An 18,219-nucleotide genomic window follows, 5' to 3' on the forward strand; every position below is an offset into this window, starting at 1 on the left:
TGACAGGGCGAGAACCTGTCTCAAATAAATGATAATAAAATTACTTTCAAAAACATGATCTCCTTAATTCACTAACAATCTTAGGAATTAGAACAGACATTAATATCTGTATTTTATAAAAGAGGAAACTATAAGGTTTAAGAGGGCTGGTTTGATATCATACAGTTAGTGTGATAAAGCACTGAAGCCCAAGTCATGCCTTTCAAAATACGGTGCTTTCCACTATACGATACTTTTTTCATTTGCTGTTGTTCTCTTATGTTGAATACTGAAGAAAGAGTGTTTTATGAATAATTCAATCACAAAATTTTATTTAATTATATAGCTATATGAAGACAGCTAATCCATTTCCTTGGTTACTAACATCATGAGACATATTACGAAGTCAAAATTCCCAATCTGAAATGCAAAGAGGAAAAAAAAAGTCATCAAAATTGGGCTCTTTTTTTTTTTAGGTGATGGTGTTTTACAACCAGAAGAGGTGCTTATAATTTGATTTTAAATTTAGAAATGCAGGGAAGAGGCAAGATTTGTTAAAAGAAAGCAGAAATATTCCTTGAGAAAATTATTTTAAGAATTAAAGATGTTCTTGTCAGGATGATAGAACTTAAGCTTTAGACTATTTGAGTGTGTATGTGTTATCTATATTCTCTTTTGTTGCCAGACTTTCTATTCTTTGCAACCTTAAGTCTCTTCCCTCCCATTCCCTCCTCCTGCTGAGTCCCCCCACAATGTCAGGTCATAGTTAGGAGGTTCTTGCAGGAGTAGTGATGAAAGATAATGGTGACTAGAGTTTGAGTAGTGATGGCAAAAGAAACGGTAGGGTTTGGGATATATTTTGAGGGGCCTATGGATGTGCTTGATGAATGGATGTAAGGGACGAAGAAAACCAATGAATCACAGATAACTCCTAGTTTTTCAGCTTGATCAACTTGGTAGTACTATTTAGTGATGTGGGGAAGACTTAGATGAATTAGATGAGCTATACAGTGAATGATGGGAAATCAGATAGAAGCTATTTTTTTAAGTTTTGTTTTCATAAAAAGTAATATCACATCTCAGACATTGGAAAGGTAGAGACTAGATGAAATTACTTATGATCCTGACTTCCTGACACAATAATTTTAAGTGTTTTGGTGTGTATCTTTATAGTCTTGCATAGGGGTTGGCAACTTTCTGTAAAGGCAGCTTCTTAACTCTGTTGTAGCATGAAAGCAGCCATAAACAATATGTAAACAAATGAGCCTGCTTGTGTTCCAGTGAAGCTTTATTTATGGACACTGAAATTTGAACTTAAGGTAACTTTCACATATTGCAAAAAATTCTTTTACTCATTTTTTTCCCCAAACATTGAAAAATGCAAAAACCATTCTTTGTGTGCAGGCCACACAAAAACAGTTGACAGGCCAGATTTGGCTGTGTAGCCAGTTTGCAGGCCCCTGGTCTTGTGCATTTGTTTTATGGTTATAGTCATATCTTACATTGAATTTTATTACCTACCTTTTCTACTTTATATATGTGCATACTTTTTAAATTGAAAGACAAAGTGATTGCATTCGTTGAATAGTAAGCCCTGATAAACTTAGTTTACAAAGTGCCTTTATGTTCATTATTTTTTTTAATTCTTAGAATAACCATGGGAAGTGTGTGTCATGCTTAATATAAAGTAAAATATGTATTATGTACATAATTGAGGGTAAGTTATACATTATCATTAGAACTCTGTCTCTTCCATTTCTCTCTATATGTTGGCTTTATTCTCTGAAATGATCTTCCCCCAGCAGCAGTGGTCATGGCTACCGGTAGCTCTGGAACAACATCCTCAAAGTTTCCCTCCCTCAACACTAGTTTGAGAAATTCTAAGGCAGGACTTTGGTCCTGTTACATCAAAATTTCATCCCCCTGTTAATCATTATGTGTTGAAAGGGCAGGGTCATGTAGGAAGATAAGAGTTCTCATTTAGAACCAATGTTTAGAAAAATAGGAGGGAGAGTGGATAGTTTCTCAAATGAAGGATAGGGTAGTGCAGACATGGCCACCTGGGGGAATTATGAATTAGCCACCCCAAATTGTGTCTGTTGACATTGTTTAATATTGATTTAAAATTATTTAATTTTATGCTCTTTTCATTTACCTATTTGTATTATGCTCAGTTCTCTTTGCCGTTGCCACTTTATGTTTTATCACCACCTCAAACTGAATTTTAAAAATCCCTAGTTTTGCCGGGCGTGGTGGCTCACGCCTATAATCCCAACACTTTGGGAGGCTGAGGCGGGCGGATCACCTGAGGTCAATAAGAAACCTGGCCGGGCACGGTGGCTCACACCTGTAATCCCAGCTCTTTGGGAGGCTGAGGTAGGTCATTTGAGGTCAGGAGTTTGAGACCAGCCAGGCCAACACGGTGAAACTCCATCCCTACTAAAAATACAAAATTAACCAGGCATGGTGGCACATGCCTGTAATTCCAGCTACTCGGGAGGCTGAGGCAGGAGAAACATTTGAACCTGGGAGGCGAGGTTGCAGTGATCCGAGATCAGGCCATTGCAATAAGAGGGAAACTGTCTCAAAAAAAAAAAAAATCCCTAGTTTTGAATGTAATTTCCCCAAGAGTCTGGGTCTTATACCTCAGTGAAAGTTACTCTTTTCTTTGCTGGTTTTTTTTTGTTGTTTTTTTGTTTTTTTTTTTGGGGGGGGGAGGTGTAGTCTTGCTCCTCTGTTGCCCGTGCTGGAGTACAGTGGCACAATCTTGGTGCTTAACTGCAACCTCTGCCTGCTGGCTTCAAGAGATTCTCCCGCCTCAGCCTCCTGAGTAGGTGGGATTGCAGGCACCCACCACCATGCCTGGGTAATTTTTATATTTTTAGTAAAGGCAGGGTTTCACCACGTTGGCCGGACTGGTCTTAAACTCCTGACCTCAAGTGATCCACCTGCCTCAGCCTCCCAAAGTACTGGGATTACAGGCATCAGCCACCGTGCCCAGCCTACTGTTTTCTTTTTAAAAGACCATATTCTGACCACTCCAGTCCCTCAAATACTAGAGTCCTTTTATGAAAAAAATCTTGGTCATCTCTTGCCTCTTTGATTGCAATATGAAGAGTTAGATGAGAAATAGGTGAGCATCATTTGTAAACCCCAGACATTAAAGCATGAAGGATTTTGCTAGAATAACTGGCTCCCACTAGGATTCAAAAACCCAGAAAAACAGTGATAAATGAAGCAGTTGCTCTTCTCTGAGTCTTCAGAGCAACTGATTCCAGTATCATGATTTTCACTTTTCTGTGGTCCTTATCTAGAGACCCTGAGATTCTTGGTGCATCTGCAGAAAGCATTTAGGGTTTTGCTAATCTGGAGGAGTGATTGGTGAAACTCAACAGTCATGAAACTGCTTTGCAGACTCTGAGGTAGTATAGTGTATGTCAGGGAGGTGGTGGAAACTGACATGTTTGGCTGGTTGGCTCCACTTAGCCAAACCTTAGTCTTTAGCTGCAGTACAATATGTTTCATAGTAAAGAACAGTCATATACCACATATGAGGGTATTTCCATAAGATTTTAATACTGTATTTTACTGTACCTTTTCTGTGCTTACATACCATTGTGTTACCATTGCCTACAGTATTCAGTGCAGTAGTATTCTGTACAAGTTTATAGCCTAGGAGCAATAGGTTATACCGTATAGCCTAGGTCTGTAGTAGGCTATACCATCTAGGTTTGTGTAAGTACATTCTGTGATTTTGCACAATGAAATTGCCTGTGATGCATTTCTCAGAACTGACACATGTCTGTACTGCAAAACGTGCATGCAGTTTATTCTGCTGAAGGAAAAATTAGTAGAAGCTGGTTTTTAGATGAACGATAAAAAGAGTAAAAGCATTTAGAATGGTGTCTGCTGTGTGATTGTTTAGACTGACAGTGGAAAATTTCTTAGCAAAGAAGTTGCTGTTGCAATTTTATTTCTTAGGGCCAAACCCAATCTGATGCTATAATGAGAACTAAAATGATTTAAATTCCTTTAAGTTTTGACCTTTTTCATTGCTGAGATTTCTTAAAGGGACATTGTTGATATATTTTGCTTTTAAGTTTTCACTTTTGTCATCTATCTATTGAGTCATTATAGGCGTTCTTTTTTTTTTTTCCTTTTCTTAATGAAGTGGGGTCTTGGTATGTCACCTAGGCTGTTGTGCAGCAGCACAATCATGGCTCACTGCAGCCTTGACCTCCTGGGCTCAAGCAGTCTTCCTGCTTCAGACTCCTGGGTAGCTGGGACTACAGGCATGCACCACCATACCCAGCTAGTATCTTTATGTTTTGTAGAGACAGGATCTCACTATGTTGCCTGTACTGTCTGGAACTCCTGGGCTCAAGTGATCCTCTCCCTTTGGCCTCCCAGAGTGCTGGGATTACAGGCCTGAAACACTGTGCCTGACCTGCAGTCTTATTTTAAACTGTGTTAACATTACTTTATTGTGAAATAGTTGCAGAATTTCCCTTTTACCATTTTTAGGGTAATTCATGTTTGCTCATTTTAAATTTTATTAATCATTGTTTTTATAGCCTATATAAATATACACAAAAAGATAGTCATCATAAATTTTTAATGTGTAATGTTAATGGCTTATTTGAAATGGGATATCCTGTGGTGTTTGGTTAAGGAAATCAAGTCCTTTTAAATAAGATTAGGCAAAGTATATTTGTATATTTTTCAATTATTTTCTTTATATTTCTTTTCTTTTTTTTGTATCTAGTCCTGAATCCTAATCCAGATCTGTATTTTTCACTTCTCTCTCTCTCTTTTTTTTTTTTTTGCACTGGATAATTTATATCATTGTTGACTTGTACTATGGAAACAAATTTTTTGTCAGAAAATATTTTGTGAATATTTTCCCCTACATTGTGGCTTGCCTGGTTACTTTTTTAGTGATATCTTTTGATTGAGTAGGACTTTTTAATTTACCTTTTTTATTTCTTTTTTTTTTTTAGACAAGGTCTTGCCCTGTTGCCCAGGCTGGAGTGCAGTAGCTCATGTGATGCCCAACCTCCACCTCTTGGGCTCAAGCGATCCTCTCACCTCAGCCTCCCAAGTAGCTGGGACTACTGATGTGTACCACCATGTCTAGCTTATTTTTGTATTTTTTGTAGAGACGGTATTTTTACCATGTTGCCCAGTCTGGTCTCGAACTCCTGGGCTCGAGTGATCCACTTGTCTCAGCTCCTAAAGTGCTGGGATTACAGGAGTGAGCCACTGCTTGGCCAGGATCTTTAATCTTGATGGTCTGATTTATCATTTGTTCCTTAGGGCTTTGGCTTTTAGGTCTATGTTCTACCTTAGATTAATTTCTGTGTATGGTGTAAGATAAGAGTTAAAAGTTAATTTTTTTCTTACAAATATGCTTATAAATGCTAACAAACAACATTGTTTGGCAAAGACTTTGCTTTATTTCCAAATCAGGTAATCAGTATTATATTATAAAATTATTAGTTATTTCAAAGTAGTTGCATGGTTAGCTAGTTCATTGATTATAGAAGCTGTATTTTTTTAGGTCAGAATTATGGGTTTATACCTTCGGGATCCAGTTAACTTGGCCTTGTTTTGTGGCCATGGAATGTATTTCTCCTAAGTTGTTTTAGTCATTTGTTAGATTTGTTTCATTGCAAGTAAGAGGGTATATGATAACTTCATCATGCTACCAGATAAAACATTAGAGCATATGCCTTACACGACTATTAACTAATTTTATTTTGTGTGAGAGAGATTACATTATTACATTTTAAGGATACGGTATTCATAGTATTATAATGTTTAATGTATCATACTCAGTTTTTATGCCATACTAAAATAAGCAAAAATAAATTGATTTTAGTAAACATTAGAAATAATTTTTCAGAGTTTTGTATAGAGTGGGAAATGTAGATCTGACACTGTGAAATCCGTTTGTTAGGTTTTGTGGGTAAATAATGCTAAGTATAAAAATACAAGACATAGAAAAATTTAAAATGTACGTTTGCATATGCTTGTGCCAATATATAGACCATTCCATAAACCCAATCATTGGCTTACATTTCTGAGATACCAGCATTAAACATGAGTTATCTTTTAAGAGGCTGAATTTGAATTATATTACTCTGTTAGGATTTGTGCCAGCTTTTGGTTAATCATTATCTTGTTGATTATATTTGGTTCAAGATGACTCATTTTTCAAGGAGCTTTATTGCAACACTACATATTTACTACAGGAAGCCTGGATGGAAATGGAGCATCAGGTTATTGGAGATTTTTTTCTCCAATCTTTATTGTACCAAGTGTTATTAAAGTTAATTATTTTTCAATAACTGAATTCCCTGTGGAACCTAGTGCTTCATTAACCAACTGTAGGAGGATCATTTACTCCTTTTTCATGGCAGACAAATATATCTTTGATGATTGTTTAAATATTGGTCATACTTCTATACTATACATTGACCAGACTTAGATATAGTATTTTATTCTCATCAAATTGAGTATGGTCATTAACTGAGAATTTTGGAATCAGAGAGATTTGAGATTGAACCTTGTTTGTAAAATTTACTAGCTTTGGAAGCTTGTGCAAATACTTCTCTGAACCCTAGCGTTCATTCAGTCATTAATGAGTGAATTAATACATTCAGTCATTAATGAGTGAATTAATACATTCATTTATTAATGAATTTGGATAAAAATATTTACCTTGCAAGATCAGATTAAAAGGACATATAAAAGTATTAGCACTTAATATGTGCTTAATGATGATCACCATCTGTTGACGCTTGCTTATGGTATATATTGAGGTTAGGAGTGCCAATCATTTAGCCCTTCTGTCTCCAGGTTCTAAGAGATAAATAATGGACACAGCATCTGTTTCTAAAATTTAGACTGTCTGATAACAGCAGAATTTGAGACCATAACATGGATCTAAGGATAAATTGAGAGTCAGCTGCAATCACCAACAAATCTAGACTGTGAGACTATGATAAGAGTTCCGTCTGCCATGTCTGCTCTGACTACACTTAATCTGGCAGCTGGCGAGAAGATTAGAGGCTTACTTTATGTATCTAGTTATCAGCGAAACAAAGAGCTGGAGTGAGAAAGGGAAAGATGGCCTTGTTTTCTATGCAGTAACGTAATTTCCTTCTTGTTAAAAATAAGGTCCAAGGAAAGCTAAATCTAACCCACCAAATTAGTAACTTCCCTTCCCCCTCTGCCCATGCAGGAGTTTGTGGCTTGAGTTTGTGGAAGAGAGACTGGGAGAGTTTTCTGTAATACCTAATACAGTAACCACCCTGCCTCCACCCTGCCCTCTACTGTGGGAAAGAGAAGGGAAGTCTCATTCTTTATAATGGGAGATTAGTGTAAGAGTGCCCCCTACTTTGAAAAAGTAAATTTCACTTATGTTCAGTGTTTTTGTAGGCCCATAGAATAAATACAGTAGAAGAGCCCTGCAGAAATGAAAAGCCATGCTAGGAATCAAAGTAAATGTTGGTTTAAGGAAGTAAATTGTGTCTTTATTTATTTTTTGAGACAGGGTCGCACTCTGTCACCCAGGCTGAAGTGCAGTGGTGCGATCACTGCAGCCTTGACCTCCCAGGATCAGGTGATACCCCCATCTCAGATTCCCGAGTGGCTGGCACCACAGGCACGCACCACCACTCCTGGCTAATTTTCGTATTGTTTTGTAGAGATGGGGTTTTGCCATATTCCCAGGCTGGTCTCCAACTGTGAGGGCTCAAGTGATCCGCTTGCCTCAGCCTCCCAAAATACTGGGTTTACACGCATGAGCCACCACGCCCCATCTTTTAAACTTGTTAATAGAAAAATTGATGTTGGTAAAGAAAAAGAACCCCCCAAAAAGATAGATATAGGCAATAAAAATCACAAGTCATCTATTGGCAGGAGGTGATAAGAGTTCTGTTTGCAAAGATATATTTAAGACACCTGCTTAAATACTAGATTTTTTTTAAATGAAAATATCAGTAAATCCAAAACAATAGTCTTCAGAAAAAAAAAACAAAATGGTGTAAACTCAACATAAATTGTGAATCTGTTCTACAAATGAGTAATTTTAAATATCTGTGAAATATATATTGGTAGTGAATATTTTATCTTAAAAAGCAAAAATTTGAGAATGATCATTTATTGGCACTTCAGAAGAAACCAGTAAACGTGTAGCAAAATAGTGAATAAATGTCAGTTAAGCCAGTAAGTGTGTCATTAGCTATTGACAAAGATTACAGTTTTGGAAATAACTCCAGATGTGCTCCACCTCAAACCTTGTGTACTCCTTTAGCCAGGATTTATAAAATAGAATTAGAAGCATAATATATATGTTTGTAATTTGAAGCATAGGGTGGTGGTTAAGAATCTGGGCTCCAGAGTCACAGTGCCTACGTGTACATCCTGGCACCTGCAATTACTAGTTTGTAGCCTTGGACAAGTTATTTAATCTTTCTGTGTGCCCCATTTGTAAAGTGGTACTAATACAAGTACCTAGTTGATAGGGTTGCTTATCAGTGACTTTACTGGAATTACAGAGACCAGTTTGCTACAGGTTAGGTAGTAATGGAAAAAGAGAATGTCCAAACACCTGTAGCTTGCTCCTACCAGAACTTCTTAAGGGAGATAGAGGGAGTCTGACTTAAAATTGAATTTTTTTTTTCTTTTTTGGTTGGTAGAGATGTGAATATATATTTATCCTGAGGGAAAATGACCAGTGGATAGATCAGATGTGAGAGAGAATGGGCATGTATGATTGACCTAATGTCTCTAAAGAAAGTAATAGGGGAGACACTCTAAAGCACTGGGGGAAGGCTTGGTGTTTAACTCAAGAGGCACCTGTTTTAATGAGTTGGGAGGGGCTGGGTGTGGTGGCTAACACCTGTAATCCCAGCACTTTGGGAGGCCAAGGTGGGAGGATTGCTTGAGACCAGGAGTTCAAGCCTGGTCTTATGGGCAACATAGTGAGACTTCCATCTCTACAAAAAAAGAAGAAAAATTTTAAAAGGAAAAGGTGGTAAGGATGCTAATTTGGGGAGGAATATTTCTACCTGAAGTCTGCTATTTTCTCTTTGAAAGAGGAAGTGAGGACACATTCTGAGAAGTATGAGGTGGAGGTGGTGGAATTGAAAGCTGGAAGAGAGTTGTGAGGATTTGGAATAGTTATTGAGGCAATGGGAGTTGGAGTTCACTTGGAAAATGTAGAGAGACCAAGATGGGTTTGATGACCATGGGTTTTTGTGGTGGTTTCTGTTGTGTGTATGTATTCTCATTCCTTCCCTGTGTCTCTCTCTGCAGTACCCAGCAGCCATTGTGTAGAAACAGAAAAGCTGGGCAGTCAAAATGTTCTGGTATTGGTGGAGGCAGGACTTGACAAAGGAGAGTGGTTTGGGAAGACCCAGGGGCCAAAAGTTGAAAGTATTGCAGTGAGAGTGGTTGAAGTTATGTATCTTGGGGGTTTAGGCTGGAGAGGGAACACCTTGAAGCCAAGACAAGGTTGATAGGTGGGGAGAAAGTGGAAGAACATTAACACCAAAAGTTTCCATGAAGCTAAAGGGTGAAGTGTGATGGGGAATAGGAGTGAAAGAGACAAAGGATAAGGGCTTGGGGTTATGGGCCAAGATAATGAGTTTTAAGATTTCAGATGAGTAATTGTTGTGGGTAATAAAGCGAGTGGTTATAGAGGTGGATTATTCAATTGGGTAGTGGCTATCTCTTCACTCCTTAAGGAGGAGAGCAGCTAGGATGTTCACGTGGATTGGAATTTGCCCAGGCTAATGGTGGCTGAAAAGGTAAATTAGATAGTAAGATCAAAACTTATATGTAATTTGGAGAGTGACTGAGAAGTTGATTGATGATAATGATGAATAATTAGGTTAGTTGTTAGATCCTAGTTATAAGTAAAGGAGGAAGGTTTTGCAGGAGACTTTTGGAGTAATCATATGTGTGCTGCAATAGAAAGAAGACAGGACAATGCTGTTATCTCCCTGTTTTCTGTTGAGAGGTATAAGAGAAAGAATAGTTGCCGTTTTGACTCAGCTGGAATGGAAGTGGTGTCGTGTGGAAAAGTTGGTTTCAATTAGAGGCAAAAGGTAGACTGAGGTTCTGTAAAGGATCTAGAGAAGTTTATTTGAAAATAAGAAGCATTGCAAATGGCAGTAGTGAAAAAGGTTGGAAAAGAGGGTAACCTTTTGGGAGAGTGAGCGGGTAAGCAAGAGAAGGAACCGAAGCGTCACAGAAATCCGAGGCCATAAGTTACTAGTCAGATGGTAAATGTATCAGGGAAGTGAAAGTCATCTATGGGTTATTGTGGAATCATGGAAAGAGACCATTTGCTTTAAAGGATAAGTATATGGGGTATCATTTATGCCAGTCTTAAAAAACAATTTTGACATTGGATCATTCCTTAATGAGATGAACAGTGGCCGGGTAAATAAGGTTGCTGAGATTTAGAATAGAAATACCGGCCAGGCGCGGTGGCTGACGCTTGTAATCCCAGCACTTTGGGAGGCCAAGGCGGGCAGATCGCGAAGTCAGGAGATTGAGACCATCCTGGCTAACATGGTGAAACCCCATCTCTACTAAAAATACAAAAAAAAAAAAAAAAAAAAAATTAGCTGGACATGGTGGTGGGCACCTGTAGTCCCAGCTACTCGGGAGGCTGAGGCAGGAGAATGGTGTGAACCCGGGAGGCGGAGCTTGCAGTGAGCCGAGATTGGGCCACTGCACTCCAGCCTGGGCGACAGAACAAGACTACGCCTCAAAAAAAGAGGAATATCAGCACTGTGTAGACAAGGGGAAAAAGAAAGAATTTCAACAAAAATTATGGCCTTTGCTCCACATGTGACCTGTAAGCTGTAGAGAGCAGTCTTTTTTGAATTTGGCATAAATGCTTTTATGGACAAATGTTAATTTGAGGTTGTTAGGTATTGTGGTTGTCAGGCATATTTAATTCAACAAATGCTGATTTCTTATTTGCTGGTCATTGAGATCAAAAGCTCTCTTTTTGGCTTGAACTCCCTTTCTCCAGTTGAAAAGATGGTTTCAGAAATTCTGGCACTAATTCAGACTTACAGACTTTCTTTGTAGAGACAGTAATCCTCAAGTTCAGCAGTTTGACTCTAAATATCATAACAATTCTAAATTCATATCTAGAGGAATGTTTTATATCTTTTTTGGCATTTTTAAAGAGTTTTTGCAGACACTCATAGTCTTGGCATGCCTTCTATTGAATCTTTGGTGGGAGAAAGAATGTAAAGCAAAGGACTGAAATTTCCAGCGCTTTGCAGGGGACAGTAGGGGAAATGAGGCAGGAAATGAGGGCCCACTTAGAATGCAGTTTATTCCAAGTCTTTTCCACTTCCCCTGTTCTCCATGGGCTGCCTGCTGTATTCTCCTAAGGATGACCCTAAGAAATTAAGTGAATTGCATCCTCTAATTGTTGTCTATAGCAGTAATATGACAGAAGTATAGTACTTTTAAGTTCTTTTAAGTGAAGGATACCTGTATTCTAATTTCCATCAATCAAGTCGAATTTCTGAAGATTTTGTCAACTGTGCTAATTTTCAAAATGTTTTTGTTGGCTACATGCTAGCTGGAAATTAACTCTGAAAGCATTACCATCAAAATCTAGCTATTAAGTAAATATATAAAACTAATTTATCAGGCATCACTCTGTATCAGAATCTGTTTGATGTACTTTATGTGTATTGGCTCATTTAATCCTCATAGTAAGCTGTGAAGGAGTTAGCATTATTATCCCCATTTTACAGAGGTGGAAACTAAGGGATGAGTTAATTAACTTGCCCAAGAGCGCACAGCTAGGCTTAATGTATGCAGATTTTTAGCTTGATTTAGGAAGTTGAACATAAGTCTAATAGAACTTTAAAAAGTTAAAAGTATAACGCTTTCTGTGATGAAGCAGTCCCACTTCTGAGTATATATCCAAAGGAATTGAAACCATTATATTGAAGAGATGCCTGCACTCTCATGTTCATTGGAGCATTTTTCACAATAGCAAGGATATGGAAACCATGGAAGTGCCCATCAGTAGATGAACAGATAAGAAAAACGTACTCAGCCTTGGAAAGGGGGAAAGCCTGTCATTTGCACAACATGGATGAACCTAGAAGACATTCTGCTAAGTGGAATAAGCCAGGCACACAGAGACACATACCCAGATAACACATGATTTCACTTATATGTGGAAACTGAAAAAAAGTCAAACTCAGAAAATAGGCCGGGCATGGTGGCTCAGGCCTGTAATCCCAGCACTTTAGGAGGCTGAGGTAGGCAGATCACTTGAGGCCAGGAGTTCAAGACCAGCCTGGCCAACATGGTGAAACCCCATCTCTACTAAAAATACAAAAAATTAGCCGGGTGTGGTGCTGCGCACCTGTAATCCCAGCTCCTCAGGAGGCTGAGGCAGGAGACTCGCTTGAACTCGGGGGGCAGAGGTTGCAGTGAGCTGAGATTGCACCACTGCACTCCAGCCTGGGTGACAGAGTGAGACTCTGTCTCAAAAAAAAAAAAAAGAAGTAGAAAGTAGAATGACAGTTGCCGGGGGCTTGGAGGGGTGTAGACAGGGAAAGGAGAGGCGTTGGTCAAATAGTACAAAGTTTCATTTGGACAAGAGAAATAGATCCTGGTGATCTATTGCACAGTATGATGTCTGTAGTTAGTAATAAGGTATTGTAGGCCAGGTGCAGTGGCTCACACCTATAATCTCAGTGCTTTGGGAGGCCAAGGTAGAAGGATTGCTTGTGGCCAGTAGTTCGAGACTAGCCTGGTGTATTAGTCAGTGTTCTCTAGATAGAAGGATTGCTTGTGGCCAGTAGTTCGAGACTAGCCTGGTGTATTAGTCAGTGTTCTCTAGAGGGACAGAAGTAACAGGATACATGTATATATAAAAGGGAGTTTATTAAGGAATATTGACTCACATGATCACAAAGTGAGGTTTCACAATAGGCCATCTCCACACTGAGGAGCAAGGAAGCCAGTCTGAGTCCCAAAGCTGAAGAACTTGGAGTCTGATGTTTGAGGGCAGGAACCATCCAGCACAGGAGAAAGATGGAGGCCAGAAGACTACATCAGTCTAGTCTTTCCATGTTCTTTTGTCTGCTTTTATTCTGGCTGTGCTGGCAGCTGATTAGATTGTGCCCACCCCGATTGAGGGTAGGTCTGCCTTTCCCAATCCATTGACTCAAATGTTAATCTCCTTTGGCAACACCCTTCAATCCAATCAAGTTGACACTCAGCATTAACCATCACACCTGGGCAACGTAGCAAGACCCCATCTCTACAAAAAATAAAAAAATTAGCCTGGTGGGGTGGTGTATGCCTGTAGTCCTAGTTGCTTAGGAGGCTAAGACCTGAGGATTCCTTGAGCCCAGAAGTTTGAGGCTGCATTGAGCCATGATTGTACCAGTGTACTCCAGCCTGGGTGACAAGAGTGGGACCCTAACTCTAATAATAATAAGAAGAAGAATATATTACATATTTCAAAATAGAATAGAATAGTGGATTTTAAATGTTCTCACCATAAAGAAGTAAGTATTTGAGGTTTGGTGGATATGTTAGTTGGCCTGATTTGGCCACTCTATAACGTATGCATATATTGAAACATCACATTGTGTCCCATAAGTACATATAATTATTATTTACCAGTTAAAAGAAAACTTAACCTAACATTTTCCATGAGTATATGAAGGTAAGTTTGGTTTTTTCCCCTCATGGTCCAGTAGACGTAGTTTATCTTTCCATCTGTGGTAGCCCTTTTTTGTTTATCAGAGGATCTGAAATAAAAACGTTTTGAATCCATGTTGAATACTCTATGATAGAGTTTTTCTGAACTTGAATAAATTTGGTTTGTCATTTTTAAGCAAAGTATATTGACATAGCTGTAATTAAACTTATTAATATAACAAAGTTCACATGAACTTTATATAGATTTTATTTGTAGTACAGTGGACGGCATCATTACCTATGGAAGCAGTTATACAAGATGGCTAGTCTGGAATCACAGATTAATACTAACAGCCGTTTATATACTTATTTTTTCAGACTTTATAGCCACCCCTTTTTTTTTTTTGTAGAAGTTCCCTCCCCCCACATATTTTGGTGTGAATTGCAGTTGCCTGAACATAAAGAGGGGAAAAAAAAAACAGAGAGGATTAATTGATAATATACTTCTATGCCACATGTATAGGCACAAAAAGGCCTGGACCTCAACAGTTTGATAGGGAAAGAGTCCCCTGTAACTATAGTAACTATAGTGGTAATAATAATGAAAATATAGTGCTTACTATAAGGTATAGTGCTAAGCACTCTGTATTTACTCCTTTATACGATACTGTTACCTTTCTTTTTCCCCCAAAGAGATGGAGTCTCGCCCTTTTGCCCAGGCTAGGGTGCAGTGACACAATCATAGTGCACTGCACCTTGAACTCCTGGGTTCAAGGGATCCTCCCACCTCAGCCCTCCGAATAGCTAGGACTACAGCCATATGCCACTACCCCGGGCTAATTTTTAAATTTTTTAATAGAGATGGGTCTCACTTTGTTGCCCAGGCTGGTCTCAAACTCCTGGGCTCAAGTGATCCTCCTGCCTTGGCCTCCCAAAGTGCTGTAATTACAGGTATAAGCCACCATACCTGGCCTATCTTTCTTTAAAAAAAATTAGAAGTTTTAGTTTTAGAACCATTAGATGACTTTCGACAAGCTATATAAGCAGTTAGTGGCAAAGACAGGTTTTGAACCCAGGTTGGTCTGATTTCAGTACCTACAGCTTAATCTCTTGTCTGCTGTGGTTTATGGCAGGGGCTGGCAAACTTTTTCTGGAAAGGGCCAGATAATAAATATTTTAGGCTTTGTGGGCCACACATCTCCAGTGGGACTATTCCTCTCTGCTGTTTTTGTAAAATAGCCATTGACAGTACCCAAAAGAATGTGCCGGGGCTATGTTCTAACAAAATTTTATTTATCAACACTGAATTTCATGTAATGTTTATGTGTCTCGAATAGCTGTTGTTCCTTGAATTTGTTTTTCAGCTATTTAAAAATGTAAAAAATCATTCTTAGTTCTCTTACCATACAACTAAGGGATGGTGATGGGATCAGATTTGGCTTGTGGGCGGTAGTGTGCCAACAACTACTGAATGGCTTGCTGTATTTGTTTTTTCTCCCTACTAGGATAAACAGAAATGGATGATTCTTCTAACAGTTTTTCAGAATAATGAGAAACTGTTACAGCTAGAGTTAGACCTAGTTAACTAGTTAACCTAGTTAGGTAGGTAGAGTTACAAGCTAGTAATGAATCTGTGTAAATGTTCTTTGCCTCAGATATTCATGAATGCTAAGATTATGGGGTCCCTTTAATATTACAGTTCTTCCTATTACTATACCATATGGTTTTAGAAATCATAAATATTCATCTCTTAATCATTTGCAATACATTGCCATTTTGTTCTATAATCATCCAAAGAACTTTGATTCGAGGTCTTTTTGTATATTAGGTGTTGAGGTAATTTGATTCTTTTATTAAGAGAAAAATTTATTGGAAATAAAATGAAGGGTTCTCAACAAAGATGATTCATGCAGTCTTTACAAAGTTTGCCTCTTAGATTACAATTTGACATTTATAAACTTGACCTTGTAGAATTTTAGTATAAGTTGGCTTATGTGCAACAAAAAACACTTCCAGATGTGATCACTGATACAATTCTGAATTAAAATGCTTAATGAAAACTTCTAGTGTTGACAGATCAACACTAATCAAATAATCTGTCCTTACACATAGTGAAGTTTATCAGCAAAAGTTGACATTTTTATATTTGGTAGGGAAAAGAGATATACTCTAAAAGTAAACTAATTTCAGCTTGCCCAATAATAATAATAATAGGTGTAGATGGTGTTGAATTAAATGCCCCTGCCCTCAGTCAGCTTCCCTGGCTTACCTAACTCACAGTAAGCACTCAATAAATGTTTGCTCTTAGAAGCTGTGTGGTGTGGCCTGAATCAGTAGGCACTTAAATGAAGGAAGTGGAAGATCTGTTAGTGCAAAAAGAAAGGGTTTTTGTTGTTGTTGTTGTTTGTTTAAGGAAGTATCAACTTAGAATTTAGACAGAAATGGATAAATTGTTTGTTACAGTAATACTATGTCAGAATTATTTAGTGGTTGGCTATAGCTTATGGTATGAAATCCTATTTTCTTTGGGTTAGAATTCCCTAATTTGGCCCCAGCCTTCCTTTCTAGTCTTATTTTTACTCTCCTGTGTTAACAGACTATGTAGTCAGTTTCCATTACTCAGTCATTTATCCACAAATATTCTGCCACTTTGGAATTTTCTTCTTTCTCTCCTCTACCTAGCCTGTTTCTGCTTAGATTTCAAGACCCAATTTTTTTTCTTTCCCTAGGACCACTCTTGCTAATCATGATCATTTTTGCCTCTGAATTTCTAGCACTTACTGCATTTATCACTCATTTGACAATTACTCTTGTTCTGCTTTGTGACATTTCTTATAAAAGTAAGTAAACGTTTGTACGACATTTTTAAATCTGTAGACCTTATTCAAGTTTCACAAATTTGTTCCATATAGCATTCCCCCCCTCTGGTCCAATCCAGAATCAGGCATTACATTTAGTTTTTAATTTTAATTAATATATTTTTTAGAGACAGGGTCTCACTCTGTCACCTAGGATGGAGTGCAGTGGCATAATTGTAGCTTAGTATAGCCTCACATTCCTGGGCTCAAGTGATCCTCCCACCTCAGCCTCCTAAGTAGCTGGGCCTATAAGTGTACTCCACTGTATCCAGCTGAATTTTGAATTTCTGGGGGAGAAATGGGATTTCACTGTCTTGCCCAGGCAGGTCCCAAACTCCTGGCCTCAAGAGTCCTCCTGCCATGACCTCCCAAAGTGTTGGGATTATAGACGTGGGCACTGCACCCAGCCTGCATTTAGTTTTTATGCCTAGTTTTATGTCTAGTCGTCTTGCCTACTTTAATCTGGAACTGAACTGTTCGTGAGCCTTTTTTGTTCCTTTTATGACATAGACAGTTTTGAAGATTACTAGCCATTTATTTTGTAGGCTGTCTCTCAATTTAGTTTTGTCTGATATTTCTTCATGATCAGATTTAGGATATGCATTTTTGGCACGTATAATACATAAGTGATGTGTTCTCAGTGCATCATGTATATTATTTTTGGTAAATAGTAAAATTTAAATCATCACAGTGAATTACAATAATTGCTGGTTGGTTTGAATAACACAGTAATCAAGACAGTCCTGGATTCAAATTCTGACCTTACCATTTGTTGATCATGTAATCTTGGGTGTTACCTCTCTTTAGCTAATTTCTACATCTGTAATTGTAGATAATTTAAATACCTTTTGGTTGGTCAAAAATAGTTGCATATTGGCAGTTTTATAGGGATCTATTTAATATTTATAGATTTGTGAGATGAAATGAGACAATGCAGCTGTCACTGAATATGTGTTCAGTACACTGTAGTAATAGATTACTTTTCAATATAGTTCTGTAGAAATATGTCAGCGTGATTATTGGTTACATTCTAAAAGTTATTTTTAAGTTGGATGTATAACACCTCCTCTATTTGATATTATCAGTTATCATTTGTAGTTTTATAAAAGTAATTTTTAAATACAACCAAAACTTTTATAAATGTATATCTTTTACTAAAATATATCTATGTATACACATACAACCTCCAAATATATATTAATATAATACTAGATATAACTAGTTTTCACATAAGTAATTTAAAGAATGTAACTAGTACCTTAAGGGTGATTGGAGTGTCTTAGGGTTGTTTGCCTCTGCACTGTATGACCTAGGACCTTATACCTTTTCACTTATTGGTATCTTTTTAAAAATATGATTTTCTCATTGATGGATGAGTTGTCAGTTTCTTGCTTACGTTAGCAGCTCTACCTGAACCACTTTTTAATTTGTTGCTTTTTATTTGCTGTGAATTGGAAAGCCAGATTTTTTTGGTTCCTACCCAGTTCTAATAAATTTAGTTAACAGGCAACTTATGAGGGCCAGAGGAGCTTTCCTGAACGTAAGTGGTCTTTATACTTATGGTTTTAGTTTGGATTGTTTTGGGGTCTTTTTCTGCTTACTTTCTGGTCTTCACTCAGTTCTGATTGGTTGAAGTTGAAAAATAAGTGACTTGTCTCTGAGTTTGGCATAA

At 37.9% G+C, this 18,219-nt stretch overlaps 1 protein-coding gene across 7 annotated transcripts in view, besides 2 other annotated features; it reads left to right on the top strand.

Annotated features, from left to right (window-relative positions):
- Positions 1–18,219, top strand: part of EML4 (EMAP like 4) — a 163,196-nt gene that overhangs the window by 20,205 nt on the left and 124,772 nt on the right. The window lies entirely within an intron of this gene.
- Positions 6,082–6,226: an enhancer, noted in NCBI's record as "145 bp enhancer 263/264 fragment used in the MPRA reporter construct; PK_construct_177". NCBI's record gives its function as "activates an SV40 promoter by MPRA in HepG2 cells {active_cell/tissue: HepG2}" and the evidence as "EXISTENCE:reporter gene assay evidence [ECO:0000049][PMID:23512712]".
- Positions 6,148–6,161: a transcriptional cis regulatory region, noted in NCBI's record as "HNF1 motif; enhancer activity is reduced when this motif is scrambled". NCBI's record gives its function as "necessary for full MPRA enhancer 263/264 activity {active_cell/tissue: HepG2}" and the evidence as "EXISTENCE:site-directed mutagenesis evidence [ECO:0005528][PMID:23512712]".

This window comes from Homo sapiens, chromosome 2, assembly GCF_000001405.40.
Source record: "Homo sapiens chromosome 2, GRCh38.p14 Primary Assembly".
Classification (NCBI taxonomy): Eukaryota; Metazoa; Chordata; class Mammalia; order Primates; family Hominidae; genus Homo; species Homo sapiens.